Raw genomic sequence first — 23,231 nt, 5'->3', positions numbered from 1 at the left:
TGCCTTGATTTTCTCATCTGTAAAATGGAATCATAATTCTCCCCTTCATACCTAAGCATCTGGTGATAAGGAATATTTCACAGTCATAATATTGATCAAAATTAGCTCAATTTATCTTTCTCTCTTCCTATAAAGACGTTTAATACAACGGAATTCAGTGTGGTCCTGAGGCCTTCCTGTTTATAAAGTACATTTGACCTAAATAAAAAATAATAATGAATCATTTTTTATGAATAGATTTTCACATCCAAATAATAATGATTTATTATGGAGGACAGGAATGGGACAATAAGAATGCAGAAGGATTGCTCATAAGCACCTCAAGGAGAAACAAAATTCCAAACTGGGAAATCATAAGCCTCACAAAAGAATTCCTGGCTAAAAGCATTAAAAAGGTAGAAAATCCTCAAGTTTATTTCAGCTGTTTGAAAATCTGATTTGCTGCATGTTTTGACACCTGTTTTCCTAAAGAAAGGAGACATTACTTCAGAGTTAAGGGAAGTCAGTTCCTCCTTAAGCAACAGCAGTCAGAAGGGAAAGACAGATGTTGAACAAGTTGTTTTTTTCTTAAGTCAATAGAAAAGATCACTTTCTAAAGAAAGAGAAATCTGAGTCTCTTTTCTAAAGCTCCGAGGTCTGATTCTTTCCCCAACCCCTTTTCCAGGTTACTTTTATACAATTCTAGAATGGCTGGCTTGATTGGAAGTGAAGGTCACACCTGCCTGCTCAGTCAGCCACCTCACAGGTGGCAAAGGGGAGGCGAGAAGGGGAATGAGAGTAAGACTCTGGCCCTCGGGGGCAGGAGCACTCGCATACACATTTGCAACCCCAGCCTCCAGCAGACACATAACAGGTGCTCTGTAGAGGTTAAAAGAAGGAGTCATTCAGGAAAATAAACCTCACAGTATATGCCATACTGGTAGGTTAGGGAGAGTTCCTTCATACCAGTCAACTTCTATACAATAACAGCTAAAATGATAGTATTTTATAATGTAAAAAAAATTTGATGCCCCAGATGTTGGTCCACATATTTCAGGTCATAGTTGTCATTGTAACAAGTAGTCCAGAAGACCTTGATTAAAGGAACTTGTACCACTTCATTGGCTGTGGAGACTTGGGCAAGGCCCTTATATTCCATTTTGCCCTTTGATATTAATCTCTCTTTACTACTCTGTTTTTTTCTCTTTACTCTCACACAGTATAAAACATATTTGAGAGTTGTTTTTGTTTTGTTTTAGAAAAAGGGTCTTGCTCTGTCACCCAAGCTGGAGTACAGTGGCGCTATCACAGCCCACTGCAGCCTTGAACTCCTGGGCTAAATATATTTGTTTATGTAGATGACCTCCTCTCACACCCCATCACTGGTGTGGAAGAGAATTTTTCAAAGGCAAAGACTGAGGAGTATGTTTCTTCCTTTACATCTCTGGCATGGAGCACATACCTGTCAAATGTCATATCCTCAGTATGTGATAAATGGGTAAATAGCGACTCTAAATGAGTGGACGTGGAGAGGCATGGATGGATTTTTATCTCTCAGATACATATTGTAACTGTCAAGTAGAACTTGACTTCTCTGGGTTTGGGTATGTGAGTGCCTTTAAATCTTGTTCTCCCATTGTCAAATGTTGTGAGCATTAAAAATAAAACAGATTTTATTTTGGCTCCAGGAGACTTATTCATATCTCTGGATATAAACTGGGAAACAGGTAAATAAAATTTAGAAATTTTGACCTCCACTTTGGTCAGTTATCACGGGTTCACAGTAGAAAGTTTATGAATAAAACTGGCTCCGGATTTGTTTAAAAGTGAGTATAAATAAAATGAAGATCCAATTCCCTTCTCACCCAGCTCAGATGTCTTAATTAGAAATTTTTTCCACAGACAGTAACACAAAGTCTGATTATAGTGACTTAAACGAGGTTTTATTTTGCACAAAAATAAATTTGAGGAAAAGGTAGAAGGTTCATGGCATTATTTCAGCAATGTAATAAAATAAAGGCCACACTATCTGCCATTCTCCTGTTTGTTTGTTTGTTTGTTTAAATCTGATTGCAAGGTGGTTGCTATGGCTCCAGCAACCACATCATCATCTGAGGAAAAAGAAAGAGAAAATGTGGCACAACGGCACCAGCACACTCTTGCTTATATTTTATTGGCCAGGCTTTATAATAAAACCACCTCCAGCTTTACTATGCGCTGGTCACTCAATGTTTCAGCCTGTTCACCCTCCTTAAAAGAGACAGGTAAGAGAGAAGAGGGTTAGAAATGAGTGTCAGGCAAGCCAACAGTGTCTATCACACTAGTATTCTGATGCCAATGCTGCTAGAAAATATAGGTCCCTATGTCTGCACAGTATTAGTAAGCAAAGCTAACCAGTACAACCCTCTCTGATTTAAACAACTTTTCTTGATAACTCACCACAAAAGAAGAGTATCTGTTAGATATCTGTAAGACAAACATCAGGTCCAAAAAAGATGTCTAAATAGCATAAGTACTGATAATTGGTGAGCAAAAGAGAAAAAAATAAGGAAATGTGGGAAAATGTTCCATTTCATTTAAATAAAAATGCCTTCTACACTCTGCAAATTGATAGACTATTACATATATGTAATATATATGTACTATTCTTACTATATAAGTTTGCTATATATATATATACACACACACACACACAGCGTGTTTGTGTGTGTGTGTGTGTGTGTGTGTGTCAGAGTTTCACTCTTGTCACCCAGGCTGGAGTGCAGTGGCACGATCTCAGCTCACTGCAACCTCTGCCTCCTGGGTTCAAGCAATTCTCCTGCCTCAGCCTCCCGAGTAGCTGTGATTACAGATACCTGCCACCACACCCAGCTAATTTTTGTATTTTGAGTAGAGACAGGGTTTCACCACCTTGGCCAGGCTGGTCTCAAACTCCTGACCTCAGGTGATCTGCCTGCCTCAGCCTCCCAAAGTGCTGAGATTACAGGAATGAGCCACCGCACCCGGCCTTTATTTTAAACTTATAATACTCAGTGCTGACCCTCATGCTGAAACTGGCACATATCAAAATACCTGGTGGAAGTGTAAATTAATCGAGACCTTCAGGGCAGTGGCTCCATAACATTTGACATGGTAACGTCACTTCAGGGAACCCTTCCTAATAAACTGAACCAAAATAAAAGGGAAGCTATAGGCATAAAAATGTATATTATGACAGTATTATATATAATAATCCAAATTTGAGGGAAATAAAACCATAAGTGTCTAATAGGCGAGGAATGACTGAGGAAATTGTAATGGAATAAATTTGATGTAATATAAGGAAGCTATTAAAATGATAATTATAACAACCATTTAGAATATGAAAAATGCGCATGATTTAAATAAAGTTGAATAAAGTCAAGGTACAAAGCAGGCAGTCACACAATTTATGCCAAAGATTTGGCAATGAAAGCAGAGGTGATGATCCTCAGACCCCACTCCCCTCCACACACACTTTCAGACTTTATTGCCATAGTTTGCCAGGAAAATGTAAACATTTCCAGGAGACGGGGCTCTATAATCTCATCAAGAAAATATCCACATATTTCAGAAATTTTAAAGAATACTTTAAGAAATTATTGCTACCTGGAAAAAATGTTTTAAAAGTTATATATGCCTACAAATGAATGGTGGAATTTAGGTTAGCAGTTTGTAAGATCTTCTCCTTATCTTGGATTTTCTGAAGTAGATTTAAATTTATTTTCATTTCTTTTATTTAGAATTTATTGACAAGATAATTAGTATTTTTCAATAATTCTAGAAAAATGTCATCCATGATCTTTTTGAATATTGCCTCTCCCTTACCTCTGTCAAGGAAATCAAAGATAATATTCAACGTATGTTATGTTTTCTATTTTCCCTTTGTCCTCCACATCTCTTAACCTTACTTTCTTATTTTCTATTTCTTTGTTTCACTGTAGTAAATTCTGATTTTTTTCATATTTTTGTTCCATATTAATAATTCTTTCTTCAACTAGATTGAATCTACTTGTAAACTCATTCATCTCAAAACCATTTCTGAAAAACATATAACCATGGTTATTTTATATTATCATACCTGATTATTCCTGCATATGCAGTGTTTCTGGGCATCGTACAGTAGTTTGATTTTTCTGTTGAGTGTCAGTAGTGTAGTCCTGTTTGCTCAATTATTTTATAATTTTTAAAATGCTAAACTTTTTTTTTTAACATTAAAGTCTGTTTTTGTAGATTGGTGTTAGCGCTCTTTTCTTCAGTTGGAACTTTTGTTTTTCTCCCCTAAGTACTTGAGGACACTACCAATCAGGAACCACTATAGAGAGAATTTTTGGCTTGAGGCCTTTTGAGCTACAGGTACATTTGAATTGTGATTCCAAATCTGCTTGAAGGAGGGCTGTGTTTAGAAATTATGAATGAAGACTTTGCCCATTTTTACTGCTCTACCCAAAGACATGGCCAAGAAAGTCAAATATGCCCACATTGTCCCTTTGCAGATTGCGGTCTTACTAATTTATTGACCACAGTTGTCATCTCTGGAGGTCCTGGCTTTGTGTGATGGTCCCAAATCAATCCTCAAACCTTGCATGGGCCTCTGTCTTTGTTACAAAACCAAGTTATAAGTGAACAGGGTTTAGTATCTGCCCCAAAGTCTTACAACAACCTCTGGCAATCACTTTTTATAAAACAGAGCATCATTGAACATCCTCTGTAAACATGCACAGAGGAAAGACATTAAATCTGTGAAGAAATATTGCAGATAAAAGGGGGCCACTCTGAAGATACCAAAAAAACGTCTTTTTGTGAAATAGATTTACTGCCAGAAATAGGAAAAATCTGGGAAATTTCTTGTTTATATTTTCTGAAAGAAATGAGTATATTGCATTGGTGAAACTACATTAAAAGGCACAAAAAGGAAACAATAAGAAATTAGAAGTGACATCACTATTGAGATTAAAATTCATTTTCTAAATTAAAGGCCAAAATTGTGAGTTAGACTGTTCAATGTAGAAAATAAAATATATTACAGAGAAGACAACTTCAAGAAGTTTTCCAATATCTCAAAGGTGGATGATATGAATTGGATATTTATCCCCTCCAAATCTCATGTTGAAATGTGATCCCCAATGTTGGAGGTGGGGTCTGGTGGGAGGTGTTTGGTTCATGGAGGTGAATCCCTTATGGATGGCTTGGTGCCCTCCCCATGGGAACGAGTGAATTGTTAGTTCAGGCAAGAGCTGGTTGTTTAAAGTGCCTGGCACCTGCTCCTCTCTCTCTTGCTGTTCTCACCATGTGACATGCCTGCTCCCGCTTCACCTCTGCCATGAGGGAAAGCTCCCTGAGGCCTCACCAGAAGCTGAGCAGATGCTGTGGCCATGCTTTTACAGCCTGCAGAACTGTAAGCCAAATAAACCTCTTTTCTTTATAAATTACTCACTCTCAGGTATTCCCTTACAGCAATACAAAACTAACACAACAGATTAGATTAAAATGATGAGCTAAACATATAAATAGGAATTTTAGAAGAGATTAGGGAAAAGTGATATGCTTCCATTTGGAATTTCAAACTCAGATAGTATGGTAGTCATAGCAGAAGCCAAGAAGAAGGAAAAGGAAGGAAAGGAGGATGAGGAGAAGGAAGAAAGTACTCACCTACGGTCCAAAAAATATCTGAGTTTACATATCAAACAGGATCTCCAAGTATTTGAAATATAATTAAAGAAAATAAAGAAAAAAGGATCAAGATCCCTATAAATAACTGAAATTAAACAGTCTAATATTTATTCATACTACTAATACCTAAGACAGTGGAGCAAGATATAAATAATTTTGAAGAGAAAGTATTGCACCTCAAAATGTTTTGGGTAGTAGTGTCAGGAAGACAAACCAAGAGAAGGGGAAACATTGAATGCAAACCACATCATAAACAAGAAAAAGTTTCATAATTTATTTTATAATATTAACATAATCCTAATACCAAAAACTGATTATTGCATTACTAATATATAAACAGGGCAGCAAGCCAACAGCAAAGATAGACAGATAGATAGATAGATACATACATACATACATACATACATACATACATACATACATAGATACATACATAGATATCTCAATTTTAAAAAAATTTATGTTCAGAAATATAAATATATAAAAATATAAATGATTTAGAGAGTATTTTTCTAAGAATGGCATGATGATGGTATCATTAGGAAATCTGCTAGTATAGATGTTAACATACCTAACATATCAAGATAAAGGGCAGAGAACAGAAGAAAATATCAGGAACTTCTAGATGGATGCATCTATGTCTGATACAAGTCATCTCATATGAGCCCACCAGGATTCTCTGTAAACCTGAGAAGATAGCCTGGCATGGTGTGTGTAAACACAGGCCCCAAGACCCATATTGCTGGGGTTACAGTCCTAGTGCTTCCACTTCTAACTGCAGGGTCCTGAGGAAGCCCTTTGACTTTTTAGTGCCTCGGTTTTCTCATCTATGTAATGGAAATAATAATTATAATAAGCATAATAATATCTAATTCATGGAGTTGCTGAGATAATTCAGTGAATTAATATATAAATTGAGATCAGTAGTTGGTCCACTGCATATTATGTAAGTACTTATTATTATCAATAACAGCAGCAAATGCTCATGCAAAACCAATTGTCAAAATCGTACTTGACACTAACACAGTCCTTGTTAAAACTATCACCAAAATTATGGCCTGCTTTCACCACTGTTATTTCCTATTATTTGGCAAGACCCAGACAATTCAATAAGATAAGAAAAAATGAGTCATACATATTAGAAAGGAATAATCACATTATCTTCATTTGAAGACTGATTATATCCTAAAACAAACTAAAGACATCAACTGAAAGACAAAATTTATTAGAGATAGGGCAACAATTGAGTAAATAGACAGGTTACAAATTAAATATACAAAAATCAATTTTCTTTGTTTAAACCAGCAAAATAAATTATTAAATATAATAAAAATTCCATTCACAATAGCAACAGAACTATAAAATATCTGAGAATGAAATTAATAATAAATATCCCAAGGGTTATGTGATAAATCCTAGGACCAAGAGACAGCAAGGAACATCTAAATAAATTCTGGGAAAGCAAGGCCCAGGACCATGCAATATCGATTCTCCTCCTATTAGTCTATCAAAGCATAGGAAATCAGAACACCACTGGGGATTTTCAGACTTGGAAAACAAATTCCCCTCTGGAAGAATACATGGCAAGAATATCCCAGAATAAAAAGTAAAAACTATTAATGAGGGTTTTCCCTTACAGATAAGAAAAAGCTCTTCTACGCGATGATGATGAAATGTTTCGGTATTGATATAAAACATGGCAGGCAGATCAAAGGAAGAATAGAGAAAGCACAAAAATCTTGGGGTAAATAAGTTTGTAGTTGACAAAGGAGCCCTTCAGGCAACAGGAAAAGGACTACAATAAAGATAAAAACTCAAAAGCAGTTGGTTAATATTTGAGAGAAAAATCTTACCCCAAATATAAAAAAAAAAATTTATTTTGATTAAAGAGTTAAATGATCAAAGAATTTAATGATAAAAAGGAATAGAATACATTAATGTTTTATCATCTCCAAACCAGGAGAAGGTTTTTCAATGTATATTTTCAAAGGAAGAAATCATAAAGGAAAATATTAATGATTAGATATATAAAATTTGAATATATCTAAATAACCTGAAATACCATAAACTAAACTAAAATGGAAACAACAAAATAAACATAATTCCAACAGAGAAGAAAATGTTAATTTGCTTTGATATAAAATGCAAATTAATATAACAATAAAATACTATGATTCTCTTCTCATCGTAGGCTTACTCTCAGCCCCAAATCATAATCGTCTCCTGGAAATGGACTGGAAACAGTCACTGTTACATTCTATCATTGGCAAAATGATAGACTGCAGTCTTTCCAAGGAAATTTGGAAGTGTATTTCGAAAGCCTTAATAGTGTTTAATTAAACTCTTGGCGTTAACAATACAAATTTCAGAAATTAATATTAAGGAAATAATCGTAAAATGAGCAACAGAGACAGTCCAAAATGTGCACCAGTCTATTACTAGTCAAATAAACTTGAGTGAATTCACACCGTGGAAATATTGACATCATGTGTTTCAAATTGGCAACGTCATAGGGATATAATCATAATGTAAAGTATAATTGACTATAGTATGCTATATTCTTTATGACCCCAATTTTACTTTAAATTTTTGTAATGCTATATGGGCACAAAAATGTTAACTGGTTAGAAATGCGCGATGAGGTTGCATGATTTAAATATTTTCTTTGTGTGTTTTCCTTATTTTTTTAAAATCCGCAAATTACCTAATTGCTTTTGCCACTCATTCTTTCCTTCAGCAATGCATGTAAGCCTGAAAAAAGTGTATCTGAATTAAGATATTATTTTATGTAATATGTGATTTTAAATCTACAAATAAAATTAAATTTAAAATTAACTTTTATAAATCATTAAATTTAAATTTAATATTTTAATTTAAATATTCAATAATAAAAGGCAAAGGAATGAGCTGGTTAGGCCTATCTAGTTTCTTAGGGTCCTACTTTTTCCTTCCCATGAACTACCTGGTATCACCTAGATTCCCCTTAACTTTTTTAGGGTCACTAGGCTTGTGTCTACTTGGCAGGGGAGGTAAACCCCCAGCAAAAAGGTCTAGTGAAGAAATAGCAATGAGACATCCATTTCCTTAGTATTGTCCCTCCAAACATTCTCAGAACCTTTACAAAGAGCCAGCATGAGTTGAAAGACAGTGACTTTTGGAGTTTTAAACAGGTTTGGAGAGGCTCTGAACTTGAATTAAGTGTGTATATTCCCTGCCTTGACATGTACCCAACAGAGAAGTTAAAACTGAGTCAATCAGACCATGCAGATCTGTGAACTCTAATAGGTAGCAGAGAAGAAAGCATGAGGGCTGGTGGATGGGCTCTGTGGCTTCTCCACTTATCGACCCCAACAAATGGACTCTAATGCTTTCATGCTGAGGACTGGATCAATCACTAAGCATGTTGGTGTCTCTGCCAGCTTTCATCTGATGGGCTCCTCCGTATAAAGCCTCCTCTGTGTGTGTCCTTTCAGCCCAGGTTTCCTAATCCATTACTGACAATTGTTTCCTTAGTAACTGCAAAAAAGGCCATATATTCACTGGCACAGCAGGGTTGAAGGTGTGGGCTAGACTTCAAACATGTCCTTCATTTCTATGCTGGACCTTCCTTTGGGTCTTTTATTGGTGAAATTGTCCCTACACCATGAATGACCACAGCAGACAGCAAAACCCTCTGTGATTACATTTCCATGTTTTTCTAGAGGATGCATACAGAGGGTAAATGTGAATCAGAGACTATATCATTAGGTAGCCTAGAGTCTGATCAAGCCAAACTCTGTTTTTTTCGGATGCATAAACTGCATTTAAAAAGTTATGTAATTAAGTAGCAGTAGAGCCAGAGTGACAGAAATAGTCCCTGACTCTATTAAATTGTCCATTTCAACAGAGGCTTTATACTTCATGGATTTGTTTACCAAGAGCTTTTGCAGATCTGGAGGTCAGTCTTTCTTATAAATTATGTTCTACCTTTCCAGATTCCCTCTCTCTTTTCTCATGCCTCCACCAAAAAACTCAATATGGCACCAGAGACATGCACAAGCCCAGTATTGTGCAACAACAGCCTGCCTCCCTCCCCTTTGCTGTTGTGACCACTGTTTCCTGCACTCATCTTCTCTGGCCCTTTGATCCCTAAGCTCCACATCCTGGCTTCTGAAACCTACCTGCAGCTACCTCGTGTGGTGACTAGCAGGAGTAATCTCTTTAGACCTGGGTCTCTATGGTTTCTCTCAGACCTAATTTTGAACTTTCCTTCTAAGACCACAGAGTGAGGGAAGAAGGAGAAAGGTGCTGCTCTCCCCATGGTTACATACATCATTTTGAGAAACTCAAATGAAAAGGACAACGACCAATTAGAACAGAAGCTGGCCACAGCAATGGAGCTGAGTTCCGTTTTGTTTGGCTTTAACCCTTGGGTTTCTGAATCTCAGTAAGGTCCTGGTGGATCATGTAAGAAGTGTGGGGAAGAATAGGATAGAGAAGTAGTGGGTAGGGGATTCACTTGGTGGGTATGAGCAGGGGCCATTAACCCATAGGTGTGGAAGTCTTGTAATGCACTAGCAATTGGTATAGTCACGCCAGTGAAAATCAGTGGAATATCAATCCTAATCTTTACTTAGACCTCCAAGCCCCACAGCAGCTCATTCAAGTCCATCCAGTGTTCTTGGAAGATGATGGGGATAAGACACAAATCAAAACTATTTTCAAAAATGTGAAATAATTTTAATATGAAGATGTTGCTCCCTAATCTTCCATATGGTGTCTGCCAGGAGAGTGGTCCACTAGGCATATCTTCACTGGTCATGCGGAATGGCTAGTAGTTTTTGTTAGGTAAGAGGACCATAATAGTCAAGTCCAGGGGTATACAAATTATGGTCTGCAGATTAGCATTTGCCTGTGAAATAGTTATGAACTTTTATTTGTGATAAAATAAGAAGCCTAAGCCAGAATGTAAATCAATCATGTAACTAAGCATCTGTTTTTAGTTCAGCTGATTTTATCAATGAAGGTGGCATTGGGATAGTGAGTACAAGCTCCCTCTATCATTGCAGCAGCCAATGAATCAAAAGCTCATAGACCAGATACTTTGAGTAGCACTGCTCCAAAATACACTCTCCAGCAAGATCTCTCTACTTTAAGTAGCATAAAGGGAGTATTTTGGTAGTCAGCTCTCTGGGATCTAAATCCCAACTTTCTGTCCAAATGACCACTTTTGAGTTACATAAGCTCTTCAAGTTCAATGTCCTCTTCTTAAAAATGGGAAAATATTATCTACTGCTTAAGTGCTTCTATAAAGATTAAATGAGATATAAAGTGCACATGCCTTGCATGGAGGCACAGAGTAAATGCCCCATAAAAAAGTGAATTTTTTCAGACACTTTTTCCCTATGCAGTATGTAATATTACACACAGAGGCATAGCAGAATATGCACAGATCACAGATATGTGTGTGTATGCACATTTACATGGATATATAAATGCCACTCATCTTTGCTTAGTTTTGCTTCTCTTTTTCCAGCTGAAATCTTTATTTTTCTCCAATTTTACATGGTCATTTGATATGGATAAAACACAGAAAGGCCAAGTATTCAGAAGTGATATTCAAGGGAAGCCAGAGCTTTTATTCCTCTACATAACTGAAGTTGTTGAATGAGGTAAGATAAAAGATTAGTATTCCCATTATACATAATTTATGTGGAAAGTGGAAGTTGAACGAAGAAAGAAACTTTAGATCTTAGAGCAGAGAATAGAGAAATTGTCCACAAAATGATTCATTTGACTAGTTAAACTGCACAGAACATGAGATGAAGCAATGCGACATTCTCAGAGCGACGAGAGTGACTTGGTATGGAGCCCTGTACTTGGATGACACCTTAGCATGGTCACCGTGCTTAGCACCATCTCCCAGCTCCCTATCTCCAGTTTATCTGGGGACTGTTTGCTTGCTCTAGCAAAAAGGCTTTTAACTGGGTTTCACTGACCAATGAGAGTCCGTGGCAATTGGTAATTCTCCTCTTATTGCATGTAAATTTGTGCGTGGGTGTCTTTTTAAGAGGTGTCCTTGGCTTCCTGAAGAATTACAGGGTTCTCATAATTATTTGCTGCAGATAATGATGTTAACCCAGTCTAGTTCTGCTAACTGGACTGGGTTAGCATCATTATCTCCAGCAAATAATTGTGAGAGCCCATTGTTCATTCATTCATTTAATGGCCATTGAATTAGCTTTTACTATGTACATGACTCTGTTTTAGGAGTTGGGAAAAAAAGCATGGTCTGAATTCTTGAAGGTGACTCATGTACCTGCCTCCAGTCTAAAAATTGCCTTTATTTCTACATCTCTAGCACAGCGTTTGGTACAGGGTGTCATTTTAGAGTCCAGGGTGGACATTTAAAGGATCATTGAAGGGAATAAGAAATGTCAATCCCCAATGATCTTATGCGTATTAAGGAAGCTAAAACATACACTAAAATAGGATTTGCCTTGAATGTCTGAAGGAAGAATAGCTTCTCTGCATTAGGACTTTGGGACGTGTATACTTACAGACATCTTTTGGTTGCTTGTCCCTGCACAGTGTTTTAAAGGTGAAAGAGCTAAGCAGGTGTAGCAACATAAGCAGTTAAGTCCATACTGTTTTACACTTTCTCAGTCCCTGAATTTACATTACCTGCTTGGCTCCTGTAGGCATTCAAGTTCTGAGCATTTTTAGTCACTAAAACTCTCCTTCATTAATACTATTATTATTTTCCTTCAAGTTTTGCTTGACTGAATACTTTGGAGAAGGAGAGACTTAGAACAAACACAAACAGGAAGAGAGGCTAATATACATTAGAGTCTGCAGATTTACGCATGGCTAGAATTTGCTGTTATGATCTAAAAGATAATATCTGACCAAAAGCCATATAGCAATTTTATATTCAGTTCAGTAAATGAGGCCTGACCAAATGCAGAGAAAATCATAATTCAGGTCTTAAAAGCAATGAGATTGCTGTATAAAACTCATACTGAGTCTATAAGTAAATTAAAAAATAATGGTTAATTTTCAAATCTTTGAACTTAAAAAATCAGTAAAAAAAAAATGTGTTGACTATATTGGATTAGTAATACAATTAACTTTAAGGGGAAAAGATTGTTTCTAAAACTTTGCTCTGTTTTTGAGCAAACGTCCCCTACCAAAGTGTAAGTAGATTTGAAGAGAGGATGATACGTGTATATGTTGCCTTTTGAAACATGCACACAGTAAGAATGCAAAGCATTCTGATTGTTCTAAAGGGTAAATTTATTTATTTGTATGTTTGTTTATAAATGTATTTATGTATAGCTGTAGCAATAATGGAAGTCTAGGACCTGAGCAGTTTGACAATGAATATGTCTCTCTGCCCAGTGTCAGGCATGAAGCCCCGGTCAATCGGCCCCTGTAGATCTTTTCAGATGAAAATGAAGATACTGCAGTCCCTCCTTTCTGCTCCTTGCCTGGAGTGGAAAACTGACATTTTCTGCAGGAAACCGTCTTTCTTGCGGGAGTAGGTCTAAACATCTATGGTTCTGCTTACTAGATAAAGGGAATATGCTAAATTCATAACAATCCAAGAATTGCCAAGCCGTGGCTACAAATGTGCCTGTGGCTTTGTGATTCCCCAGGGTGTGCATCTGTGTTGGGAGGCCCCCAAAGTCCATGAGCAGGGAAGTAATAACAATAGTAATAAATACAGGAACAGACCTGAGCACTGTCAGACTGTAATTGCCCTGGCAACAGAGCAAACAGTCCTACCATGGGCCCATATAACTTTGATGCCCAAGTGCTCAGGAGGGAACAGCTGGAAACCCCAGCAGGCAAAACACTTGTTAGCAGACTTTGTTCAGTTCAAATGATGAGAAATGTTTTATTTTTTAATGAAACCTTTTCCAGTTAGTCCTGTCTGCTTCCTGCCTGCCTCCAACCTTGTTTAGCTGTCTCGTTCTTACTTACCTAAGAAAGATTAGGTTATGATCAGGTTCATAACCTGATCAGGTTAGATCTTACGGTTGACAAAAGAACTGGGATGTATTGTCAATGAAAGAGACTTGGAAATTAAAGACGCCGTGGCGGGTAGCAGAAGATAGGAGCATACTGCTGAAATTCTGCAAAGGGGCAACAGTTGCTATAGACAGAAGAGAAAACCCCAATATTGGGCACAGAGATGAGGTTGTATTAGATCTACCTGCAGGTCTAGATTGTATCACCTTTACCTTCAGAGTCCTCACCTTTGGCAGGGTCTTAGCTTATGGAAGCCAAAAGTCTCCCGGCTTCAAATCATCTCATCCATCAATCTGACAATTACTGATATTCTTTTTATTAATGGCTCTTTAAATAGTGTCCACTAATAAGCAAAGTAACACCAATTCTTGCACTGTTTATTAGTGCATAACTGCTACATAGCCATTCAGTGGAGATTCAAGGCCAGATGAAGTGAAACATGGAACAGGTAGGTAAATTCTGGAAAAAAGATCAAGAATCTAGAAATCTTCAGGCCTTCAATGACCCTTTTTAGGAAAGGGATGTGGAGGGGGGACAAATAGGAAATAAATGAGACAGGAACTTTTCTTAATTAAAAGATCATGGCTTACTTCTGTCTTTGTGAATACCCGCCTTTGCTCTCTGTGTAGTACAGCCAGCCAACACATGTTCTGCGTAAATGAAGGGACCGTTACTATAACCTCCACTGAATCTGCATGATGCTTGGTAGTGCATCCCAAACAGCTTTCCTCCAGAATGTTCTAACATTCTATGATTTATCTCTACATACCAACATGGAGGATTGCTCTCCTTAGTGTTTCTGTGACCACGTTTTTTCCCTAAATCAAACCCCAAACACATGGCCTAACAAGTGCTAAATTATTAATGGGGTTATGGGCCAAATATCAGAAACACCCACCAGCCTAGGAACTCTGGCTATGGCTTTCTGTATCCACATGCCCATATAAGATTTGCAATCCTGAGTGTTGCTGATACCTATGTGTCAAAGTAAGAGTCAGTCTACAAATGAGAAACACTGGCCAAAACCAAGGTCCAGGAGGCTGTAAGAGTCATAGTTGTAAAAAGGGGTTCATATTTTCATTTTGCTAGATAGTTAAAAATTAAATGGGCACCTAGGATATTATTGACTCTTACTTAATCCAGAATCAAAATAAAGCAGACCAGTAGAGGTGTCAGTGTCCATTAGTCACAGAAAATCCCCAATAGAGTTCATTTCTATTCAGACTTAAGAAACATTAACATTTACTATTCATTCATTTTTGCAAAAATATATAGTAAGTTCTTTCCAAGTGTCAGACATTGTTACATTCTCAGGCTAAGGACAAAATCCCTATACGCTCATATAACTTAATCCAGAGGAGTCATTTTAATAATTGTCTTGGTCTAGAGGCATTACATTATTAATTGCTTCATGATAGTTTTGAAAGTGCTGTGACCAAAAACTACAGGATGCTACGAGAATACATTAAGGGAATCCAACCCAACCTGGATTTTTGTGCTGATCATGTTCTTTCATTATACATACATAAATACATGAATATATACACACATACATACATATATATATGCATATACAATATAGTATATACACATATAAATTATATATATTTATGTGTATGTATATATTTTAACTCTTACAACAGTCCTAATGATGAGTTTGAGAGAAGTTGAGCATCTTATCTCTGTATTCTCAATAAGCAGGAGACTTGCATCCCTAACTTAGCTCCCCTAAACCTAAATCCAGGGTGCTTCCCACCAAGACACCATGGCTGCTGGCCCATCAGAAGCCCTTGCTCCCTATTCCCTGTTCTGGTCTACCCCAGGCCAGTAGCCCATTTTGTCAATCTCAGAAGTAGGAGACTTACGAGAGATGTGTCCTTCCTTATGATGTGAGATTAGGCCACCACCTTAAGTTTGGAGCAAGCAAGTCCAGACATAAATTATACTGTGATTATCCATAGAGGACACAGCATTTCTAGGGAAAACCATTAACTAGGGGTTTGAAAATGTGACCTCCATTAGCAATAACACCAAATCTTTCTCCGGCATTTTTATATCCCACTGTGAGTCACTTTCCAACCCATGGGGCAATGGATTTCCACTCTAAACGTCACCTCCAGTCAATATGTGTACATACAAACACACACAGAGTATTTTCTGCATCTAATAGCTTTACCCACACACAGTGGTTCTGCCCTGAGGCTGGGTATAAATAAATTGACAGTCTGATTTCCCACTAATGCCATCAGAGAAAACTCTTTCTGAATACTAATCAGAAACTCTCATGAAGTGAGGAAAGCTTGTGTCAAGGAGCAGGAGGAAACGAGCTCTTACCGGGGCTGGCAAACTGATTGGCCAGGAGGCACACAGTCAGCCCGCGGCACTTGTACAGTTGGCATTGTCCCAGGTCAGCTCCCACTTCATGAAATATTTCTGGAGGAACAGAGCAAAGGCTGCTGAAGGCTTAGTGGAAGGGGCATGGTAGACAGTGAGCATATTAGCAAAAGAAATCACACTGAGAAACGAGGAAGGTGAGGGTCTTGGAAGCAGCAACAGTTAACATGAGAGAAACCTAATGATCTTAAAAAGAAATAAGGGCCAGAGAACCAACATGGCTGAGGCAAGATGGAGGGCTGGGGAGCAGGTAAAAGCCAGGGCAAAGAAAAATACAATTTCCTAAGGGAAGGGAGCAGAGAAACCAAATCTGTGACATGAAAACTACTCTCAGTTTATTTGCATTTCAAACCTCCAGTGGAGATGTGGAATTCCTTTTGGTGGAGTTCAGGTAAAAGAACAGACCCTTCTCATGTTAGCTAAGGAGGCAAAAGAGCCACTGAGTACATTTAACCCTCTTCCATGGAAGGTAAACAATGGAAGATAAGGGAGCTCAGGGGGTGTAAAGGAAGAAGGTCACAAGGGTTCTGGCCAGGAAAAGGGAGAGATCTTCAATAAATAAGGGAAAAAGAAGGGAGAGAAGCCAGATTATTAACATCAGTGGTCAAATTAGACTATGTCATATTTTAAGAGATACTTTATTACTTTTTGATGCATAAAGAACTTAGGAGTGCACTACCAAAGTCTGGCTACACAGAGGCCTGCTAGACATTCCCTTCAAAGAATAAACAAGAGTGATGTGTCATTAGAACCTCAACAAGCAGCAAGTTACTTCCTTTAGAACTCTACAACACTGGGTTTGTAATGAAGTTGTTTTCCTACATAATGCAGGCAACCCCCCTAAAGCCCCAGGGTGATATCTAAGCACTTTTGAAGCACCACTAATTTTGTCAGCGTGCTCTTTCTTTCTAATAATGCTAGTTCTGCTCAAATTAAGAGAAAGTTCAAATAATCCAAATGAAATTTAATATTGTACATAGTTTCTCACCCTCTGCCACTTGTTAAGATGGTTGAAAGTAGTTTATGTGTATTTAATATAGAATAAAGACTTCCTATAAATCACAACTTTCCTCAACAAAGGCCAGTAGAAATATGTCCAAATTCATCACACAAAGACCTCCATGATTTTATCTATTACACTGCAGGTGCAGAAAAGGGCCTGGAAGCATGCTTCATGCTCCGTACATTATTTCATTACTTATTTCACTTAATTGATAGCATCTCAATGGAGGTAAGCATTACTACTCCCATTTTACACATGAGGAGACTGATGCTCAGGGAGGCAAATTAACTTGTCCAATATTTAAATTATCTGCCAGTCTTTCTTCTAACTCACACTAACCATCTATAGTAATGTGGTATAGCAGCAAAACTACTACGAAGCCCATAGCTAGACTTTCCTCATAATGTTTATCCCTACTCCACCTCTCCCAGGTATTTCTCCTCCTAATGTATCCAAATTGTACACTTTCTTGAAGTGTTTCCTGACCACTGCAAGTTAGCAATGACTTCCCTTCTCCCAGCAAGTGACAACAGCAACATTTATTGGACATCTAATAACACACCAGGGCAATTTCTAGTTTTTTGAATTGCGTATGTTCTTTTTGTCAACATATATGAATTTGATGGGGAGGAAGTCCTTTCCTAGAGGTACGATGTACACAGAATTACGCATAATATAAGATGCTTTACAAATATTTGAGGGAAGAAGAGGAGAGAAAAGGAAAGACAAGAGAAAAGAAAGTAACGGGAAATTATTGATTACCTACTTCCAAAAATTAGTTTGGAGATACTCAATAGTGTTATTTATATGTTTACATATTTTCTACCAAATATTTACTAGTTAGGACATCATTGCGTGTATTGGTAGTTAAATAGAAGCCGGAGTCAATTGGCTAGTTCAGTTTCTATTTTCCTATTGTGTATTCAGCTGCGCTTCAATTGTTGGGGAACAATGGGAAGGCAAGTTGTTAATAGATATTCAGGATTTAAACAGAAATAAAAGGAAGGTCTGTTTGAATGCCCTGCACACCTGTCCCTCCTTGCTAATAATTTTCCCAGGGAAGAATGCATTTCCGGAGATTGGAATCAGCCCCAGAATTGTCCCACCAGATGCATCTGGAATGATTGTGCCAATGGATAGAGTAGGCTCTTCCCTTACCTCCCTTATAAACAGATGCATCACCTTTTCTGGCAAGCTGTGAGTATGAATTCTTGGCTAACAGAAACAGACCTCCAACTGCTTTTCTGCAAGGCTGCTCTGAAAAGTAGGAGCTGTTGAGAAGATATTACATTATAAAAGAGCATAACCCTACTGAGAGAGATTCCAGAGTGGCAATCTCTCGGTGCCTGGGGCTATGAGAAGCTCCCATTTGATTTTGATGCTCACTGGCATCTTTAGTCAGGAAAGGCTGTATGTAATCTTTGTTTCTCCATGGCTGGCTGACTAGGCAGGGCCCATCATCAGAAAAGGTTTACCATGAAGGGGACTGGGAGGTCAATGACCACAGTCCTCCCCAAGGAGAGCATCGGTGACACCTATAGGAGAAGGTTTGAAACAAAAGGGGATGCCAACACGTTACCCTGACACCTGCCATCCACCTCTTTCCATGAATGTATGTGGATTCTAAACATGAAACTTAAAAAATACAACAATGTACTCTGTAAAGCCTTGATTAGGGTCCTGGTACTAATGGACACTAACTATTAACTTCATTTTCAAGGATGAGACATTGCATACAGGGCCATGGGTAAAGAGTGGTGCCAGCCTGGTAGCTCACAGCTATTAATAGTTCCAGCCCACAGATATATTTTAGTTTGTTTTGGCCCATGCATTTTTTGTCTAAATGCAATTACTTACCCATATGTAAAAATTGGAAGCTTCTACACTCAAAATAAGTCTTTATTATATAGCTTTGAAAAAAATGGGAAGATCTGAAAAAACACTCCTACTTGCTAACAACTTGGCAGAGCTCTAGGGGAGGAGTAGAGATTATAAACAAGGAATGTGATCCAGATGACCAAAGACTCCCCTTCTTGCTTTTCCCTTTTTCTACCCCTTTTTCACTCAGGTACATGATCTGCTTGGCCCATAGAGACATCTGAGTTTGTGGCTCAGAATAAAATCTTCGCATTTTGATTATCAGTGAAACTCTGCAGTCATTCTACCAAAGACAGAGGTTTTCCTGTGAAGAAAGAACATTCTAACTGTGGTTTCCTGTTACCTCTGCTTTGGGGCAAGCTTTTTATCAAACTACTCACATTCTTCTGCTCTAATCTGCTTTCATTTACTGCATAGACTAATTGCAGCTCCTTCACAAAGTTGAGAGTTGGAAAACACACTTAAAAAAAAATGAGCTCTAGGATTGAGTGTTGTGCTGTATTTGGTCTCTGGGAGTATGAGACATTGGCTAGTTCCAGCCCAAGGTGATCGTGTTTATTTCTCTGCAGCTATTGAGCACCAAGTGGAAAGCCATCATGATGAAAGGCATATTTGAAATGAGCTCTTTCCTTCCTCATACTTGATATGCTGGCTTGTATGTCTTCCATTTGGGAGTGGAGACAGCCTGTGGTCACTAGGGGGATGGCATAGGTAGGGTGAATCAACCCATTAGGAACAATAAGGGGAAGGCCTTGGTGCTTTTATTAGCTTTGATTTGTGTTGCCTTCAGGGCTCAAGTGCACGGTTTATAAAAAAGAACCAAGCAGCTATAGATTGTGCGCTGCTCATCACTGTGGTTTATATCCGATGTCTGTGAAGGTTTTATTGGATTATTGGTGGCGTGTTTATTTGCCTGAGTGCAAAAAGTCCTGCTAGGGCTTGAGAATAATACAAAGAGCAGGGGCTTTGTGGTATTATAGGATTTAGGGAAAAGTCTGCATCTTGTACTCCGGGTGGCAGGGAGAAGGGAAAGGAGCAGGCACTGAAGGACACAGTGTATGGACTCTAATTTAAGATGAGACTATTGACTTGGTGTGGAGGGAGCTTGGCAAGCCAGGGCTAACTATTTCTTATTTGTGTATCAGGATCCCCTGGGATGTTTGTGCTGACATAACTCATTTTGGTTTGCATTTGAGGAGGTTATGGAAGGACGGTGCAAGAAGGCTACTCGGCAATATCCCAACTGGTTGATGGGTGAACTAATCTTTCGTGAAAATAAAATGAATATACATTCTCATGGATAAAACGCATTTGTTAGGGTCTATAACAAGGATTCTCTACATCAGCACTATTGACATTTGGGTCATAAAATTATTTGTTATGGGGACCGTTCTGTGCATTGCAAGAAATTGTGCAACATCCTTGACTTCTCCTCATTTGATGCCCATTGCATCCGTACCTAGTTAGGACAACCCAAAATGTCTCTAGATACTGTCAAATGTCTCTGGCAGGGGAAGTGAAAAGGGGGCAAAATTTCTCCCTGCTTAAAACCACTGCTTTACACACACTGAAGTGTGTGTATACATACATTTTTGGGAGATTTAATGTAGTCATTCATGAAATTTCAAAGAGAAAACTTCAAACACAATACTTTTCATTAACTTAATACCCTTGAAATGAGTCTCAGAATAGGGTTCCAGAAACAAATATTGGAAGATTTTTAAAGAAGGAGAATAAATGGATAGTATGCTAGTTTTAGGCAGGTCTTACCCAAACAAATGTTTAAATCTACAATCCGAGGTAGGTATCTACATAACTATGAAATATAAAGCAGCTAAACCACATCTCGGTGTGTTAATATTGATCCTTTGACAACATCTTTCTAGAATGGATAAATCAGGAAGTATAAAAACCTCCGGTAGCCAGTCTTTCTATTCTGGCCTCGAACATTAAAGCCTAGCTCTTATCTTTGGATCTTCAACAATAACAACATTAGGAGGCTGAGATCCCTGTGCCTCTCTGGAAGAACCACAGAAATGGAAATTGATTTTATCCCCTTTGTCACTAAGTGGAAGTCATGTCACAGCTGCGAAGCTCCCTATGATGCTTGAGTTGAAAGAGAACATGAGGAGAACTGGTGTACCTCCATATATTGTCTGCCAATCTTTTGACCCTAAAATGACATTTAAATTGAGAGTGCACTGGGAGTAGAAGCACAGGTGTCAGACTTACTCTTTTAACAGAGGTTTCCTTTTTATTGTATTGGGGAAAGAATAGATGAAGTTAGTGAAGATCACTCATTTGTTAAACAATCTCAGACAATGGAAGGCTTCTGAGCATCCAGTAGAGTCCAGTTGGACTGTAGAAAAACAAGCAAAAACTCCCCAGACTTTTGAAGTACCCCCATCTCAATGACACTTTATGCTGGTGGAAGTAGGGCAACCACATGTGGGACCACAGCTCAAGAGACAGTGTCTCAGATGGGGCAACCAGGACTGACACCAAGCAGTGGACCAAGGAAGACAATACTTTGTCAGACATTCAGGAAGTCAACTGAACTCAGTGTTAAGAGTTAACGTACTCAGTGGCAGGTTTAGTAAGATATCAACACTCAGAGAGATCAGTAGTTGGAACTTATTAGCAATCTATGGAGGGGTCAAGAAGTTTCATGTAACTAAGAAAATGAGAAGAAAGAGGAGTGGGAAAACAGGAACACCGTCATTTACTGACGAACGTCAATGCTCCAGGAGCCAGGCTAGGCATTCCAATCCTGACAACAGCATTGTGGATGAGGATTGTATATGCCAAATAACTCATCTAAATCACTTAGCCAATAAGTAGCAGTGCTGGAATTATAATAAGATCTATACAATTCCAAATTCACACAGCAAGGAAAGCCATGCCATTTCTTATGTGTTTCTACAGTGAGAGAAGTTTTAACCAGAATCTAATCCTCTTTGAATTATCTCTTTGATACAGAAGTGTTCTTTCCTTTCAGCATGAGCCTTAGAAGTACTAGAAAATTATAACTAGTTAGATTGTCTGAGTCAAGACCCTTGGAGGCCTCTATGCAATTTCTCAAAACGTGACCCCTGCAGGGCCCACATCAGAGTCATGGAATAACACTGGTTAAAAATGAATAATCCTGGGCCTCACCATGATAGCTACCAAATTAAGAACTCTGAGGCTGTGGTCAGATGAGATGCATTTTTATCAAGATTTTATGCTGATTAAAACTTGAGAACTACTTAATTAAGTTGTATGTTGGGGGAATATAGGAAACATAGGAAAGGGTGTCTTAAAGACACTTCAGTGAGTAATATCAGAATTTCCTTCTCAGATGAAAGCCAATTTGAGGATTTGAACCAAGAAGTGCTAAGGGATTTACTAACTACAGAATTTTTAAGAATCACTGCTCTGCCAATGAACTGTGAAGTCAATGAAATCCCCAAATCAAACCTACTTGGAATTTGTCCTTGGCAGAGAGTAGCGTGGGCAAGACTAGCTGCAGGATACAAAAAAGTTACACCTATATTCAGAATCCATAGGTCTGGGAGATGAGGGAGCTCGGGAAAGAAGCCTCTAGACAGTGTGCTGATACTGTATGCCTGCCAGTATGTGATTCAAGGACAGTTGCTGGAGGATCACAAATATGTACTTTACAGACATCTTGCCCTATAGTTTTTAAATTCAGGGTTTTTTTTCTTTGTCCTTTTTAAAGTAATGCCTTTTTATTTTGCTCTTATTTTCAGAGAGTCTCATGTGGACTGAAGAAAAACAAGCAATAGAATTCTTGGCTTAGGAAAAAACAGGTATGTTGGACTTTCGTGTTATCAGATGGCTGAAATTCATCTGTGAGGCCCAGAAAAAACCACAATAACAGTAGCTTATAAAAGAAGTTATTTTTCTTTCATAGTCATTTTGACCAGAAGTATATCCCCCATAGTGTCAGAGACATAGATTCCTTATACCTTATAAATTTATATAGCTTCCATTGTCAAGGTTATGGTGCCAGATGACTGATGGCTGAAACACCACTTTCACTTTCATCTGATTGGCCAAAGATGGTCACATGGCCATACTTAGTAATAAGGAAGCTGGCAAACTTAGTCCTCATTTCAGGTGGCCGTGTACCAAGCTAAAAACAGGGAAAGGGATTCTGTTACTAATGAAGAATGGGAGAAGAGAGTATTTTAGAAAAACTGCTGGTCTCTTTCACAAAACTAAATGCCCCCTGTGCCACAAAAAGAACTAGATATATATGCTGTAGCTT

The 23,231-nt window shown here is 38.1% G+C and overlaps 1 protein-coding gene across 5 annotated transcripts in view; it reads right to left on the bottom strand.

Moving 5' to 3' along the window:
• Positions 1 to 23,231, bottom strand: part of AGBL1 (AGBL carboxypeptidase 1) — a 951,857-nt gene that overhangs the window by 358,168 nt on the left and 570,458 nt on the right. The gene's annotated exons all lie outside the window — the stretch shown is intronic.

This window comes from Homo sapiens, chromosome 15 (genome assembly GCF_000001405.40).
Source record: "Homo sapiens chromosome 15, GRCh38.p14 Primary Assembly".
NCBI classification, from domain to species: domain Eukaryota; kingdom Metazoa; phylum Chordata; class Mammalia; order Primates; family Hominidae; genus Homo; species Homo sapiens.
This window is presented reverse-complemented; position numbering and strand designations above follow the sequence as displayed.